A 17,005-nucleotide genomic window follows, 5' to 3' on the forward strand; every position below is an offset into this window, starting at 1 on the left:
CTGAGAGTTCCAGCTGAGAGTCCAGAAATAAATCCACACACTTACAGCCAACTGATGTTTGATAAAGGTGCCAAGAACACACAATGGGGAAAAGTCAGTCTCTTCAATAAGTGGTATTGGGAAAATGGGTTTCCACATGCAGAAGAATGAAACTGGACCTCTGTCTTTAACCATATACAAAACATTTTAAACACTTAAATGTAAGACCAGAAACTATGAAACTGCTAGAAGAAAACATAGCGGGAAAGTTCTATGACATTGGTCTGTGCAATAATTTTTTGGATATGACTTCAAAAGTATAAGCAAAAAAAGCAAAAATTGATAAATAGGATTTTAGCAAACTAAAAAGCTTCTGTACAGCAAGGGAAACAATCAACAGAGTGAGGAGACAACCTACAGAATGGGAGAAAATATTTGTAAATTATACATCTGATAAAGGGTTAGTAACCAAAAAATATTAAAAAAACCTCAAACAACTCAATAGCAAGACAACAATCCAATTAAAAAACAGGCAATACATCTGAATAGACATCTCTCAAAAGACACACAAATGGCCAACAGGTATATGGCCAATAGGTATGAATGAAAATGATGCTCATAATGAAAAAGATGCTCATTGTTGCTAATCATCAGGAAAATGCCAATGAAAACAGTGAGATATTACCTCCCTCCTGTTAGAATGGCTATTATCAGAAAAACAAAGCATAAGTGTTGGTGAGAATGTAAGAAAAGGGAACACTTACACACATTGGTGAGAGTGTTCATTGGTACATTCATTGTGGAAACGGTATGGAGGTTCCTCAAAATATTAAAAATACAACTACCATATGATCTAGCAATCCCATTACTGGGCATATAGCCAAACGAAATGAAATAAGTATATGGAAGAGATAACTGCACTCTTATGTTATTACAGCAGTATCCACAGTAACTAAGATATAGAATTAAACTAGGTTTCTATCAATGGATGAATGGATAGAGAAAATGTAGTACATATACACAGTGGAATACTATTCAGCTATGAAAAGAATGGAATTCTGTCATTTGCAACAGCACAGATGAACATGGATGTTATGTTAAGTGGAATAAGCCAGTTATAGAAAGACAAATACTGCATGATCTCACTCATATGTAGAATTTTTAAAAAGTTGATCTAATAGAAGTAACGAGTAAAATAGTGGTTACCAGAGGCTGTGGTTGGTAGGAGGGAGGGGACTTGAGGAGATGTTGGTCAAAATATATATAATTACAGTTAGATAGAAGAAATAAGTTCACAAGATCTATTGTACAGCATGGTGACTATAGTTAATGACAATATATTGTATTCTTGAAAAATGCAAAGATAATAGATGTTAAGTGTTCTCACCAAAAAAATGATAATTACGTGAGGAACTGTATTTGTTAATTAACTAGATTTAACTATTCCAAGAGTATATATATTTCACAACATCATGTTGTACATGATAAATACATACAGTTTTATCTACAACAAAAGTGGTTCTCATCATCTTCCCACTCTTTCCATTTCCACCACTTTACCACGTTTGTGAGCTCTTCTACATCTTAGTCTATTTTCTCCAGTCTCAAAGGAGAGCATGTTCCTTTTGTTGTTGCTGTAACTTATTTCACCTGCTTCCTTCAGGGTTTTGCTCCCCTTTCCTTCTCTACTCTCACCCATCCCCTAGTATATAGATATGTTCAGTTCATTATAAAACAAACAAAAGCACCCTGTTGACTCTAATTTGCTCTCTAATTACTCTCAACCTCTCTTTGTACTTCTCATGCAAACTTCTTAAAAGAGAAATCTACAGTACTGTCTTCTCTTTCTCCCTTTCCATTTAGTCCTCAACTTATGCTTTTGGCTTTTTATTCTTGTGTCTAGGCTTGCGACTTCTTTTTTTTATTTTTTTTTTTTGAGACGGAGTCTCGCTCTGTCGCCAAGGCTGGAGTGCAGTGGCACGATCTCGGCTCACTGCAAGCTCCGCCTCCTGGGTTCACGCCATTCTCCTGCTTCAGCCTCCTGAGTAGCTGAGACTACAGGCGCCTGCCACCACGCCCGGCTCATTTTTTTTTGTATTTTTAATAGAGATGGGGTTTCACCATGTTAGCCAGGCTGGTTTCAAACCCCTGATCTCAGGTGATCCGCCCGCCTTGGCCTCCCAAAGTGCTGGGATTACAGGCAGGAGCCACCGCTCCCGGCTGGTTTGTGACTTTTAAAACTAGATTTTATCTATCTACAATTCTAATATGACTATGTCATTTTTCAATCAACAATGTTAACAGAACAAAGTCCAAGCTTGATACACTCTCCACTGCTGCTACTTTCCATGCTTTCACTCATCTCCTTTTCTCAGCTTGGGATCTCCCTATCCTCCTTTTCAACTGGACTTAAATTTCAGGTACTACCTATTATGAAGCTTCATGGGTTGGGTAGGCACCCTTCATCACTGTTCCCTTAGTAGTCTTATCTTTTTTCTGCTTGTGAGTAGTCTACTGACTGTTTCCTGTTCACCGTTGTTTCCCTACCTCCTGAGTACCTGTCACACAGCAAATACTTCATACAATTATTTTTGAAAAAGTGAAGAATAAATGAAGGAGAAGGTATATCTTTAAGAGTAGCATTGGTATTCTGATAGGCATACTTTCAACTTTAAATTTGTATTTTGGCATTCTTGCTAACGATAAATGTGGGGATTTTCTTGCATGCTTATTGATTATGAGTTAATAAATTGAACCGGCTAACCCAGGGTTAGATGGATGAAAGCCAGTTTTGAAACAGAACAGATGATGAGTTTGTGATGACCCCACTGAGGCAGAAATGCTCTGTGAGATTCCAGCTGATCAGCTTGCCAACCTGCTGTTTTATGCCATCCCCTACAACAGGATCTTCCCTGGGTGGTATTGTTTTCTCTGGTAAATAATATCATAAAAAAGGTTCTGATTCTTTATAACCATTTTTATAGGTGTTTACTTTGGCAGCCATATACATGATCACAGGACAATAGGCAATTCATCAAAATAAATGAGATAAATATCATGTCATATGGAGAATAAAGGCAAGATAAACCTTTGACAAGGCTGAAAGTCTAATTAACTACATGTCTCATAGGTCTCTGCTGGTGGTTCTGAAGCCAAACCTCTGATCTTCACATTTGTCCCCACTGTCAGAAGACTACCAACCCATACTCAGTTGGCTGACACCTCTAAATTCCTTGTTAAAATTCCAGAAGAATCAAGTGATAAGAGTCCAGAAACTGTAAATAGGGTAGGATTATTTTTATTCTTTTTTAATTTCAAACAATTATATTAAATTTTGATAATGATGACTTGGAAATTTGTGTATATTTCCTGTGCTTAAATTAAGGTGACTGTGACTCTAAGTTTGACTAAAAATATAATAATGCAACAGAAGCATAAATGTTATCAAATTGCATGTTCTCTCTAATGCATTATCTTCAATTTTTTTCAGTTTGACATCCTATTGTTTGCTATTGACATGACAAATTCTGCCTCCTGGCACATTCTCTCAAATGTTTCTTAAGAAAATAAAAACAAAATTTAAAAATGTTTAAATTTATCTCAAAAGAAAATATAAGACAAAACAGTGAGATATTATTATTTACAGGTAATGAATTAGCAACATTAAAAAATGTAATACCTGATGTTGGGAAAGTTGTGGAAATATTGGCATGCTTACACTTTGCTGCTGGTTTTGTAAATTTATACAATTTTGGTGGAAATACTTTATCTATAGTTATAAAACTGTTTATAACCTTTCAATAATCTAACTCTTTGAAAAGTATCCCAAGGAAATATTACAAAAGAAGAAAAATGTTATGTAGGTAAATAATTAGGGAAAAATAAAAAATGCCTAATATCTAACAATCAGAAAAGTTAAGAATATAATAGTACCTCACTTTGGCAAAGTTATACTGATGGTAATTAGATAATTCCATGGAAAATGTTAACCTTACAATATTAGGTGATATAATACTGTGTTCATATCTTGATTGTACCTATCTAAAATGAGACCAAGATGGGAAGTGAAATTACACAAATTTAAAAATCTTGAAAATAACTTGTGTTAGAATAACAAAATTTTGAGTAAAAATGTTTTTCTCTTTAAAATGTGTTTTAACATTGCTTACTTATAAATAAAATGAGATTGGGGCAACTTTGTGTTATTCTTGACACAATTAGAAAGGAGTAAAATAATCAGATTCACCTTGTCTACAAGAAAACATCTTATCTAGAAAATAGTAATATTTCCATGATCCTGGGGTTTTCAATGCTGCTATCTTCTTTCAAAGACTAATGGGGCCATGAATACTATATATGGCACTTCTAGATAGTTTCTTTCCTACAGCACTCATTTACATAATATTAATGAGATCCTTTGTAATTAGGCCTTATGAGTGGTGTGAGACTGTAGCTACATAAACCAACCTTGGTTGCAAGCCTCCAGAGCTTCCTAAGATGATAATATTTATCTGCTGATTGCAATGATATATATACAACCACATCTTTAAAAGATTTTTCACCCTATCTCTTAGACAGTTCAACATTAAAATAGTGTAATTCCTCATTCATTTATATTCTTTTTTTTTTTTTTGAGACGGAGTCTCGCTCTGTCGCCCAGGCTAGAGTGCAGTGGCGCGATCTCGGCTCACTGCAAGCTCCGCCTCCCGGGTTCACTCCATTCTCCTGCCTCAGCCTCCCGAATAGCTGGGACTATAGGCGCCTCTGCCACCGCGCCCGGCTAATTTTTTTTGTATTTTTAGTAGAGACGGGGTTTAACCTTGTTAGCCAGGATGATCTCGATCTCCTGACCTCGTGATCCGCCCTCCTCGGCCTCCCAAAGTGCTGGGATTACAGGCTTGAGCCACCGCGCCCGGCTTCATTTATATTCTTAGCAACTGTTTACTGAACATATGTTATTCTCTTGATGATTGGATTCCAACTGAATAAAGACAATTCATATAGCTTACTTGTTATCGGGAAGGCAGGCAATGAAAAAAATGAAAAAAGTATGTAATAAAATCCATATAGTGATAAATACAATGAAAACAATATCAGAGTAAATAGGGAAAGATGGGCAGAGAAATTTTAATCAGAGGCAATTTGTGTTTTATCCTGACTATATCCTCATTATCAGCTGAATAATGTGGGTGTATAAAATCAACTTTTTAGTTATATTTAATCAGTGATTTGACTTCTGTCTTCATACATACAATACATGCACACACAGTACACATTAAATTGACCACCAGAGTTGAAATTATTAGCATATTTTCATTTAGTGGCATAACTCTCTATTTTGAAATAATTTTAGCCTTACAGAAAAGCTGCAGAGAAAAGAATAATAGTAACCATAGTGTAATAATAAAAATAAGAAAATTAACATTGGGTCTTTTAAACACAATCTCAGTATACATGGCTGTCATAGTTTTAGAAAAAGAAGTTTGGTAGCTTGATAAAGCTATCTTGATCCTGGTCTTGTAAACTATGTATTCACAGAAAATTGGATGGGAAAAGACTGAGAATTACAAATCCAAAATAAAACAGTGAAAGATGCTTTGTACTAAAAATATCTGCATCTTTTTTGGTGTTCTATTTATGAGTTCTCCCTAATTAACTTAGATTGTTTTGTCTGACTATGCATTTTGCCCAATTTTATTTTTCCTTTCAGATTTTTAGAGAGATTTTGTATTATTTTAGAAACTTTCAATGGGGATTTCCTTCCTCCCTTGGCTTTTAAAGGATATACAGTTTGCTTCACCATTAACTAAACCCTTGCCCAATCCCCATTTGTTTCACAAATGTCTTCACGGAAAACATTGCTCTCTCCCTCTCTCTCTTTAAAATGTCGTATCATGACTTACTTGAAAACAGTTAGGTTTGCCTGTTGATGTTGATTACTATCCCAAAATTGTTTGGGCTTAGACCAGGAAAAACAGGTGGGCTAGTGGGCTAGTAAAAATAAACTGCTAACTTCAACCCAATCTCTTTCTTATGTCAACCTAATTTAATATATTTTTGAAAATATAAGGAGGTTAAGCTTTTCAGTGTACATGCCAAAAAAGAAGCATTTATTAAACTAATGTCAATGCTTTTATCTCTCTACATCTATTACAGTCTAAATCCAATGACTACTTGACCTTGAATGCTGGGAGCCAACAAGAGAGAGACCAAGCGAAATTGACTTGTCCTTCAGAGGTCAGTGGAACGATTTTACAAGAAAGGGAATTCGAAGCAAACAAACTTCAAGGGATGCAGCAAAGTGACCTCTTCAAAGCTGAATATGTCCTTATTGTGGACTCCGAAGGGGAAGATGAGGCTGCAAGCAGAAAAGTTGAACAAGGCCCCCCAGGGGGGATTGGCACCGCAGCTGTCCGGCCCAAGTCTCTAGCTATCTCGTCCAGTCTGGTCTCTGATGTAGTGCGTCCCAAAACACAGGGGACTGATCTCAAGACCTCATCACATCCTGAAATGCTTCATGGGATGGCCCCTCAGCAAAAGCATGGGCAGGTAGGTTTTGTGTTCCTGCTGTCCATAAGGAAAAAAAAAGCGTTTATGCACCCTTTGTCTTGGGCGGTCTGCAAAGGCCATCCTGTTTAAGGCAGACAAAACTTTCAAAGAAAAATATATTTAAAAAACCATTATCTCAGGGTAATAAATCATCATAGTGTAAACACAGATAATAAATATATAAGATAAAAAGGATTAAGCAATTATGCTGTGAATTGGCTGAAGAGAAAATGTAAAACATTTAGCTGGAGTAAATTTGGGAGAATACTACCTCTTTCCTTTAAATAATTCTTGGAGAAGGTTGATATGAGGAGTTTCTTTAGTCAAGAAGAGTGTGCTTGGTGAGCTGGGTCCATCAAGAAGCATATTTCAGACGTAAGAAAGATCTAGTGAAAAGACGGTAATTGGACATTAGAGGTAGACCCATTGATTTTAAATTAGTAAAAGACTAGTAAAAGGATAAACTAGGAAATAAGAGTAAGAAAAATAATTTTCCCCTGTGTATCCTAAGGAAAACATCTTTTGTGGTCCTGGAAGCCACAAGGCTGGGGTTGACCTCAGTGAGAGGGGGAAAATATACCACCCCAAAACTTAGTGGCAAGATTGAATGGTTCTTTTAAGGTAGAGAGAGTCTGGTACAATAGGAGAAGACCCACATCTGTGATGGCAGGAAAGAAAGGATGCGGACAAGGAGGCATTTTGAAGTTGAAAAATAGAATAATTTGCCATTGACTGGCTATTTGCTATAATGAAAATGTAAGGTGACTGACGAAGTGTAGTTAGAATGTTAGGAATGCAGACGCTGGCTTTGAGAGTAGGTAGGTAGTGGATGCAGAGCTCTAACTTCTTGACAATGACCACGAATTGTTACCCAGATGTCCCATTTAGGATCTAATAGACCAGGCATTTGCAATCAACCCAAAGTAGTTTAAAGGACATTTTTACTGGCGTGTTGGTCTTTTTGCATTACTAGGACAGGACCAATGCAAAATGGTAGAATGAGCATTGGAGTTTTGGTGCCACACCATCTTTATTTCTGTAGGCTTCACTGAGTTTCTGATGCTGCATTTTTATTATCTTCAAGCATCTAGTATCTTGTATTGTCTTCTGGTAGTAAAAGACACACACTGCGGTACTCACATTTTTACTGGGCTAAAACATTTATTTCTTCTTGAAGTTCGTTCTTAGCTAGGTATTGGAACAAAATATTATAATCATATAATTAAATGTATTCCCAATATGCTGTGATAGGTTTAAATATTTCTTTCTTGCCTCAGAAAAGATAATGAAATAGTTGGAGATGTAGAAATGTGGAAATTTCCATTGTTAGGGGAGGACAGCTTTAGGTGACTTCTCTGAGAAGAAAATGTATTAATAAAAAATTAACAAAGCAATTGTTGGGTCTTTGATTTACTCTTTCTCCAACTGATAGTTTTTTCCCCTGAATTGGCCATTTATTTTTATTTTTGTGTGTTCAAATATACAGAAGTGAATCTAGAGACTGAATATGTCCTTTAAAATATTTTTTCCAAAAAAGGTTATTTAGGAGCAGGTTATAGTTCATGTTATTAGAGCTCTAAATAAAAAAGCAGAGCTCAACCTCATATATTAATTGTGGCTGAAGATTATGATTACCAGTAGTGGTGGAATACTAGATCCTAAAGTGTTTGACCAATTACCAATTATTTGAACAATTACCATTGCTCTTGTTTCCATTTCCTATAATAATCCACTTGAGTGAACTGTAGGTCATCATGAAATAAAAATAAGATGACCATTGCCACAAGTGTAAACTAAGGAGAAATGACCAGAGCACCAAAGAAAGCAGTCTGGAAGTTTAATATAGTGAACTGTAATGTACAAAGTCTAAAAAAAAATTACACGATTGGGCTGCTTGATGCCAACAATATCAAATTTTTAATCAGAAATACAGTCAAGTAAGTAAATTTCTAGTCTACCTGGTGAAAATGAATCCATATATAGAATTGTCTGTAAATTACCTCTATTGGTTAGTCATTGATAAGCTATTCCTAAGAAATGTCTTCACTTCTTAGTCTGGCCTTTAACCTTTCCATGACCTAGCCTAGGTGTCTTTTTCTATCTACATCTTTTACCTCTCTTCTTCAGCTCTCCTGAACAATCACCAAAGTACATACTTCATACCTTCCCATCTCTGAGCCCTTGATTCCTCTGGTCAAATGCTTCCTTCTTTCCCTAGCTCTTCTCCATTTTGACCTAGGCTACTTGATAATTTAAGCTCAGTTCAAGTAGCATCTCCTCTTAAAGATGTTCCCTTTGGAAAGGAGTTAGTTCTTGTTCATGTTTGTGATTTTCTTTATTATTTTATAGCTTTTAGTGGGGGAAAAAATTCTCCATTATAATTCCTTTTCATTCTGTTGTAATAATTTACTTTTATCTTTTTTCCTCACTGGCTGAAAACTACATTAAATCAAGTTCTGGTCCCTTGTTAATTTCTGTATCCCTAGCACTTAATGCAGTGCCTTACATATAAAGGGGGTTCAATAAGGTGAGTGAAAAAAATGAAATATTCAAAAGATTGCATATCTTTTCAACTGTGAAGTCCTTGCTCAGATATTGACACCTTCATGAAGCTGTTTTGTTCTCTCAGTGAAAGCAATCTCTCTCCCAACATTATTCTGATAGCTTTTTTTCTGTACCTATTTTATAATTATCATAGGCAGTACTATAGCTATTTAGATACATGTCTTATCTCCCCTAAGAGATTGTAAAGTTTTTACAGGTAAAGCCCATGTTAAATTCAGTTTTATTAAACTTTTTGTCCCCTACAGTGGTTAGCATATTATCAGGGACATAGTCAATATAAATATTGGGTTGAATGATAAACTCCCCAAGTGCTTCCTGAAGTGGCATGTTTAAGTAAAAGTATCTTACGTTAAAAAAATCACTCAATAATTTCAAAGCATGTCAAAAGTAAACATGTTATGTAAAATAAGCTGTTGAATCAAAATCCTCTTAAATAAAATTCAGAAAAAAGAGACTTGAATGTTCATGTAAAAGTCTAAGAATTTTCTAGGGGTAGTATTAGAGTTACGGGAGAGGTGAATACACATACAACACAGTGATTCGTCTGAAAGACCTATGATAAAGTTTGGAGCTAAGATAGTGACTGTGGGAATAGACAGAGAGCCTGATGAGGTAGAATTAGCTGAACTTGTTCATTGACAATATATGGGAAAAATTAAGCATGAATGAAGTTTATTACCTCATTGGATGAATGTTGGCATCATTAATTGAAGAATGAATAACAGGTCTTGGGTGGGGATGGGAAGAGATTAGACATCTGATGTTGAGTTTGAGATGCCTTGGTGGCACTATATGATGATATCTAGAAAGAAGTTGGAAGTATGAATCCTGGACATAGGAGAGAGAAGGGAGACTGGAGATATTCGTCATATAAATTAAAGTGATGGGAATTTACTCAGGGAGAGAAGGTAAAAGTAGGAAGACAGGATTCAAGCCAGGAAACAGAAAAGTATAAAAGCACCTATGAAAAAAGAGAGCCAATGAGAAACCTAGGTGTCTTTTTCTATCTAAGAGGTGAATCAAAGATGTCTGAGAGAGTGGTTTTATGCAGTGGAAACTAATGAGACTTTCCAAAAAGAGGAGTCTATAGTAGAATATAAAACAAGGTAAAATAAAGTAGGACCCCTGAGTCCATTAAATCTTGAAATAAGGAGGTCATTTGGTGACCTTGGTGGGAACAGTGTGAGCGAGATTATGGGGACAGAAATCAGTTTGAGAAATGGATGGAGGTAAGGAAAAGGAGGTCATGCATTGGAGGGGTGATGTGGGAAAACCAAAATGAGATGGGCAATTGACTGGCTATGTTCCTCTGGGTGAGTTACTTGAAATCATAAACCTCAGTTTTCTCATTTGTAAAATGAGTTGATAATATATCAACCTTCCTTGTGAAGATTAAATGAGATAATACATGTAAAGTGCCTAGAATAGTGCCTGGCCAGTGGTAGGCTCTCAATAAATGATTTACTGTATCTAAGAAGTCTGAGATGGCAGCATTGTTTTTTTTTGGAGGGGGGGCACAAAGTCAGGAACATGTGGAGAAGGAGAGTTTCACACCTTTTTCAAATGTAGCTCAGAAGTAAGAACTGGGGAGAGGAATGTGGAACATGAAAATAAGACCAAAAGAACTGACTGGGGCTAAATAATGCAGGTCCTGACATGAAATTCTGAGGAATTTGGACACTAGCATATATGTTTATTAAATAACTAGATTTCATGGATTCATAGAAAAGGGATTACAGTAAGTTATTTGGATGGGGCATTAGACATAGAAACCCTCCATATACCCCCAGGCCTCAACTTTATAATGAAATACCCTATTCATACCAGCATACTTATTACAATAGCCTTCATGTGTCTGTCTTACCCCACTAGATTCCTGAACCCCTTGAACTTGACAAAAAATATTTTTCTCACTTCTGCTTCCCATCACCTAATACAATGCCTGGAATACTGTGGGTGCTTAAAAAGTGTCTGATGAATGAATGAATAAATGAATGAATGATCCTCCTTTTCACATGATCTTCTGATATAAATAGAGAATAGACATTACCTAAACCCTCTTAGTGAGCATTCAAAGCTGAAAGAAAATGATAATAGAGTATGGAAGAGCACCTAGGACTCCTGCCTTAGAGTTAGTGCTGTTGCTCTTACTTAAGCAAATAATCTATAGCTTCTGACCCGAGAGATTTAGAGGTTGAAAACCTTGAAAGAAGCTGGGAGGTTAAACGTTCATGTTGGATTCAGCTAACTGCTGGAGGACTAGCTTGGAATGCCAAAGTACTTGCTGAAAATTGGCACATTTATATTAAGAAGCTGGGAGGTGAAGTGTTCATGGCCATCAGCTGGATGGCTCTTTGAATGCAGAACAGAGCCACCTGGGGCCTGACTGTGCAAGAATAGGTGAGAGGTGACTAAGTAGTAATTCAGATTCTACATGGGCCTTCTTGGTCATATAATTGTTTTGGGCAGTTGGGTAGGATTAAAAATTTAGAGGCCCTACATTCTTTTAGGCAATGGACAAATCCCTGACCAAGTGATTTTTTTTTAAATAACTTTTCTCCAGTGATCTTCCCACTGCTACCTCTCCATTTCGTTTCGTGCTTAGGGTGAGTACATGATTCCCTCTTTTTATCTTGTTACCTTTCATAGTGAATGAGACTAGATGCACTTAGGAGAATTTTTATGAATCAGTGAGAAGCTCCAGGCTCTGCTCTGATGCTGGCAGAATCCCTATAGTCCCTGAATGGTAGCTTGTTATTTCCTCTGGGTGGGTTAATTTGTACCATTAACCAGGTACAAAGGAAGAACATATCTGGAAAATCAAGTCGCTGTGACAATTCCAGCAGAAAGATGATGTAGGCTTTTAAGAAGAGAGTCTCCTGACTTGTTGATGTCAGAACTTAAGAACTTGTTGATGTCAGAACTTGGCTGGGGAGGTAACGACTGAATCAGAGGTCAGAGGCAATGTTCTTCCTACCACCTGCCCATCCTCACTGCCCAGAGTCTAGAGCAGAATAAGAGGGGGCAATTGCTGAGGGAGGGGTTAGACCCTCTTCAAGGAGAAACTATGTTTCCGCTTCTGCATCCTTCTGTTCCTTCATCTGCTAGACATTTTATTTATTTATTTTTTATTCCTGTATGAAGGTAGTAGGCTAGGCACTAGACACTAGGGGTACATAGACATATGATCTGCCTTTAAGGAATTTAAAAAGTGTATGTGCATGCTCAGAAAAAAAAGTGTATTAGGTTGCATGTTCAGAAAAGTGGGAAGCCTACGGGGAGGATGCCTAAGTCAGCCTGGAGCATCAGAAAGGGTTCACAGAGGCAGTGTTGCTGAAATTTGAAGGATGAATACATTTTTGGCATTCCAGAAAGGTAATAGGGAAGGAAGTATCAGCACATAAGAACAGGGTGGAAGATGAGAAGAAATATGAAAAGGACTCATCAAAAGATAGGAAATACACTAGGAAAGAGTAATGAAATAGAGGCCATAAATAAAAGTTTTGAAAAGGAGTGAGAGATTAGAAGAGTCAAACTCTGAAAAGAAATCAGAAAAGGTAAGCGATTCAAGTGCCTGTTGGGTTTAGGAAAAATAAACCATTGTAGATGTTAGTGATAACAGTTTTCCATGTAAGGGTGGAGAAGAAATCTGTTAAGAAGTTAGTGGGAAGTGAATTAGTTTTCCGTTGTACAATAGCTTACCACAAATGTAGTGGCTTCACAAATTTACCTATTTCTCCTGGTTTCTGTAGATCAGATGTCTGGATATGTCTGAGCCATGTTCTTTGCTCAGGGTCTCTCACCAGGTTGAAATCAAGGTGTCAGTCAGGTTGGCAGAATTTATTTCCTTGAGGCTGTGGAATTCATGGCAGCTTGCCTCTTAAAGCCAGCAACAGAGAAAAAGTATCTCTGCTGCTTTGAGTCTCTAATTCCAAAGACCTTTTTTTAATTTTTATTTTTTTTAAAGAGCTCACTTGATTAGGTCACACCCACGCAGGATAAACCTCCCTTTTAATTAACTTAAAGTAACCTGATTAGGGACCTTTGTTACATTTGAAAAATTCCTTCACCTCTGTCATATTCTATCAGTTAGAAGCAAGTAACCGTTTCCACCCACACTTAAAAGGAAGGAATTCTATAAGGCTGGGACTCTTTGGGTAGTCATTTTAGGGTGTGCAGACTACAAGAAATAAGAAACTCAGTGCAGTGATTATATTGTACAGACTTGACTGAGAAGAAAACAACATAGGCCTGTAATTATGGGAAATATAGGATCAAGAAAGAGCTTGGGATATGTATGTATATATTCGTTTTTGTCAGTTAGCTTTTGTTGCTTAACAAACCATGCCAGCATTTAGTGTTTTAAAACACAATATTTTATTTAGCTCAAAAATTTTTTGGTCAATAATTTGGGCTGTTTTCAGCTAGGTGGTTCTGCAGATATGGGCTGGATTCAGTTAATCTTTACTGTGACCTACCCATGTCAGTGATTGGCTGTTGGGTTAGCTGGTGGCTGGTTAGCTGTCTGGTGGCTGAGTAGTTGTGTGCTGAGACGTGGTCTTGTATCTTCCAGTAAACTAGCCTGAGCTCATTCATATTATGGCAATGTTCTGCACGTAACAAGCCAGTAAGCCTCAATGCACAAATGTTTTTCAAGATACTGCTTCTTGTATTGCATCTGATAATGTTGTATGGGCCAAAACAAGTCATTTGGCTATCCAGATTAAAAGGTGGAACAAAAGACTGCGTTTATGATGGAATGAATGGGAAAGAACAGAGAATTGTGGGTACTTTCACTATTCACCACAATGATATTTATTATCATGTTTTTAAAAGATTGAGAGAATTTCTGTTTTATATCTATGTTAGGATCAGGGAGCTAGGAAAAAATTAAAAAGGATAAGTACATAGGTTATGGGGAATAACTGATGAAATGAGATTTCTAAGAGGGCAAGAGCTGCTGTGATTCAGAGTACACAAGGAGAATTCACCTTTTACAAAGCGAAAGTTTTTTTCATTCATCTTTCCTTAGAATGAGGGAAAGGGAATGAAGATGATACTACCAAAATTCACTTTCCTGGTAATCTCAATTTTCCTTGGAGTAAAGAAATCTAGGCCATCTGTTGAGCATAATGGGAGAAATAGTAGGTTAAGGGTTTGTGGAGAATGTAAAGTTTTTGGAAAAGCTGTTCATCAGAACAGTAGAGGAAGCCAAGGTCCAAACAACAACAACAAAAAAGAAAACACAAATCAACCAACCAAAAAATCGAGAGGTGCAGGACCCAGCTGAGACTATAGACATTGAACTTGTGCTTTCACCAGTCTACAGTGACTCAGCCAGCCCATATGTGAATTGAGAAAACCTCCCCTTCTGCAGGGGAATTCAGTGCAGGGGAAACCAGCCCCACTCAGCTTGCGCCCTTGTACAGGATGGTTTGCAAAATAGGTGCTGTGGTCCTATTAAAAAGTGGTATCAATTTTCTTTTTCTTATAGCAACTTTTGGTAGACTAGGTCTAGAAACATAATGGCAGTTGCTGGGATTGGTTTAAGAATGAAGGTTTGCTAAGTTGATTGGCAAGAGAGGATTGGCAAGAAACCACAATAGCTAGAATGTTGGCAATGCTGGCAAGAAGGTTGAGATTGAACAAAGTATTACTGAAACTTAAAAAATAGGGGATGAGGGGTGTGAGACTGGATAGCAAGAGAGGGGCTTCGTCATGAAGGAAGTATCTGTAGTTCATGGTAGACACAAAGAAACCAGTGATGAGGTCTTGAGCATAGGTGATCAGATTTTAAAAGTTCAATCTGGTGATAGGTTAAATAGGCTGCAACTACAAGTAAGAACACCAGAAAAGATTATTTAATGTGTTCAGGTAAGAAAGGCTGAGAATCTTCCCTGTAGCATTACAAGCATTCATCAGAGAGAAGAGGACAAATCAATAATAGCTAAGTTTAGGAGGCCGAGCTGCCATTATGCAATGATTGGTATGTGACGACAAGGGAGAATCTGGGGTTTCTGCCTCATGTAGCTGTACAGATTCAGGAGGAAGAGCACAACTATATACGATCCACATCTGGTGCTGTCAGAATCTCAGAAAGTATTCAAGATACTAGGTAGCAGATCAGTCACTTCAGTTTTTATTCAAATGCTTTGAAATCTCATAGAAACATCAGGGAAAATTGAATATATATACAGGAGCAGTTTATTTTAGATTTACAGGCAGTAAAAATACAAGGCAGTTCTACAATAGAGATTGGTTGTTAAAATAATTGATGGTCTCTATTACATAGGATCTGAGGGTGAATTTATGATTAGGATCATCTACTTACCTAATGATAGGAGCACATTTCATCTTCTGTTACTGAGATTATTGTGAATGTTTTCCAGAGTTCCAGATAGCCTTTCTAGGAGAAGAGAGTTTTGAAAATGACTTTAGAGAGAGTGTATGGCAAGGGGGGCTCAGGGAACCAGCATAGTTCTGGGTATTGGAAAACATGGTCATTGGTAGCTCTAGAGAGGTGTTTGAAGCAAAGGAATCAATAAAGATGAGGTAAGAAATAAATGGTAAAGAAAACCTAGAACAGCCTTGAGGGAGAAGGAGTTAGAGCATCAGTAACAAACCTTGAGAACAACATAGAGGGTTATGAATGGTAGAGGAAGAAGAGATGGAAATAATTTGTGTTAAATAGATGCCAATAGGGAAGTTTGGGATCACTAATAAGGGATTTACAGGAAGAGGTAAAATGAAGGACTGATTCTGAGCTACTGACTGAGAATTTGACAGGTGCCCATGTATTCTTTCTGCATACATATTTTCATGCCTTTACTTCCTCTTTTTAAAAATTTATTAATTAGAGAAACTCAGGAAAATCAATCTTTTTATAAAAAAAGAATCCTTCACCCCTGAGAATTTTATAAAATATGGTGTCACATTTTTATATTGGTACAAATTAGGATACATCGTGGCATATTTGCAAGTTAGAAAGGAATATGTTGCATATACTTATTAATATATTAAGAAAATATAATAAAAATTATGTGCAGATTAATATAAACATGGTAAACATCTTTAGACTTTTCAGAGCCTTTCTCTTAGAAGTTCCTTAAAAATCAATGTTTTAAATATATTAAAAAGTATAATAAAATTCTGAGATATTTATATTAGGTAAAATATTAATTAATGTAGTAGAATGTTTGGTCATTAGAAGCCATAGTTTTGAGGAAATTGGAGAGGTTAGTCTTTTCCTCTGAATGAGACCCTAACAGTTACAGCTCTATGGTCTTAGCATAGTGATAATTTGGTGAATAATCAATCAGGGTAAATAACTGAGTTTGTCATATACATTAAAGTTATTTGGAAACAGCAGAACTGAAAAGGTAATGAGAGTTTTGTGACTGCTGTTATTAATTTACAGAATTCTTTACCAAACAGCTATTCCAGGCATAGTACAACATGCAAAGACACACTACACAGTCTAGAAATGTTTCTATATTCTTTTCATTAGGAGAGATCAATCATAGGAAACAATTAGAGAAGACTTTTCTTTGTGGTAAAAAAAAAAATTCCCTGGATACACTATTTACCCTAAAAGAACAATTTCTTAAACATTAATTATGTATTTAACTAAAATGATTGCATAACTCCAAATAAGACATTGTCATGCTTGTAGTGACAGAAACATTCAGCTGCCCAGCTAGTAGTGTTTGGATTTAAATATATCTCTAACCAAATGCATCAGTTACATAAACATTGGCTAAGCAGAGTTGTTTCTAAATAAAACTTATACGAGTGAATTGCTAAGCTTTCTTCTTCCATTTGATTCAATTCTGCTTGACTTTTAATTATCTCTGATTTTCCCATATTCTGGGTTACGCCAATATATTCAGGTGTTATTTATGTAGCAAGAATT

General features: G+C 36.4%; 1 protein-coding gene across 18 annotated transcripts in view, besides 1 other annotated feature; it reads left to right on the plus strand.

Moving 5' to 3' along the window:
* Window positions 1-17,005, plus strand: part of MLIP (muscular LMNA interacting protein) — a 247,311-nt gene that overhangs the window by 99,368 nt on the left and 130,938 nt on the right. For 16 of the 18 annotated variants that reach the window (XM_047419509.1, NM_138569.3, XM_024446579.2 and 13 more), the window contains exons 2-3: window positions 3,110-3,265; window positions 6,136-6,528. In XM_047419509.1, the coding sequence (XP_047275465.1) occupies window positions 3,110-3,265; window positions 6,136-6,528 (549 nt within the window). The remainder of the gene's footprint in view (window positions 1-3,109; window positions 3,266-6,135; window positions 6,529-17,005) is intronic. The other 2 variants (XM_024446581.2, XM_005249478.6) reach the window with 1 other exon arrangement.
* Window positions 6,049-7,248: an enhancer, noted in NCBI's record as "CDK7 strongly-dependent group 2 enhancer chr6:53989184-53990383 (GRCh37/hg19 assembly coordinates)". NCBI's record gives its function as "activates an origin of replication core promoter dependent on BRD2, BRD4, P300/CBP, MED14 and CDK7 cofactors, with strong dependence on CDK7, by STARR-seq in HCT116 cells {active_cell/tissue: HCT116}" and the evidence as "EXISTENCE:reporter gene assay evidence [ECO:0000049][PMID:35650434]".

The sequence above is a fragment of the Homo sapiens genome, chromosome 6 (assembly GCF_000001405.40).
Source record: "Homo sapiens chromosome 6, GRCh38.p14 Primary Assembly".
In the NCBI taxonomy this organism is placed as follows: Eukaryota; Metazoa; Chordata; class Mammalia; order Primates; family Hominidae; genus Homo; species Homo sapiens.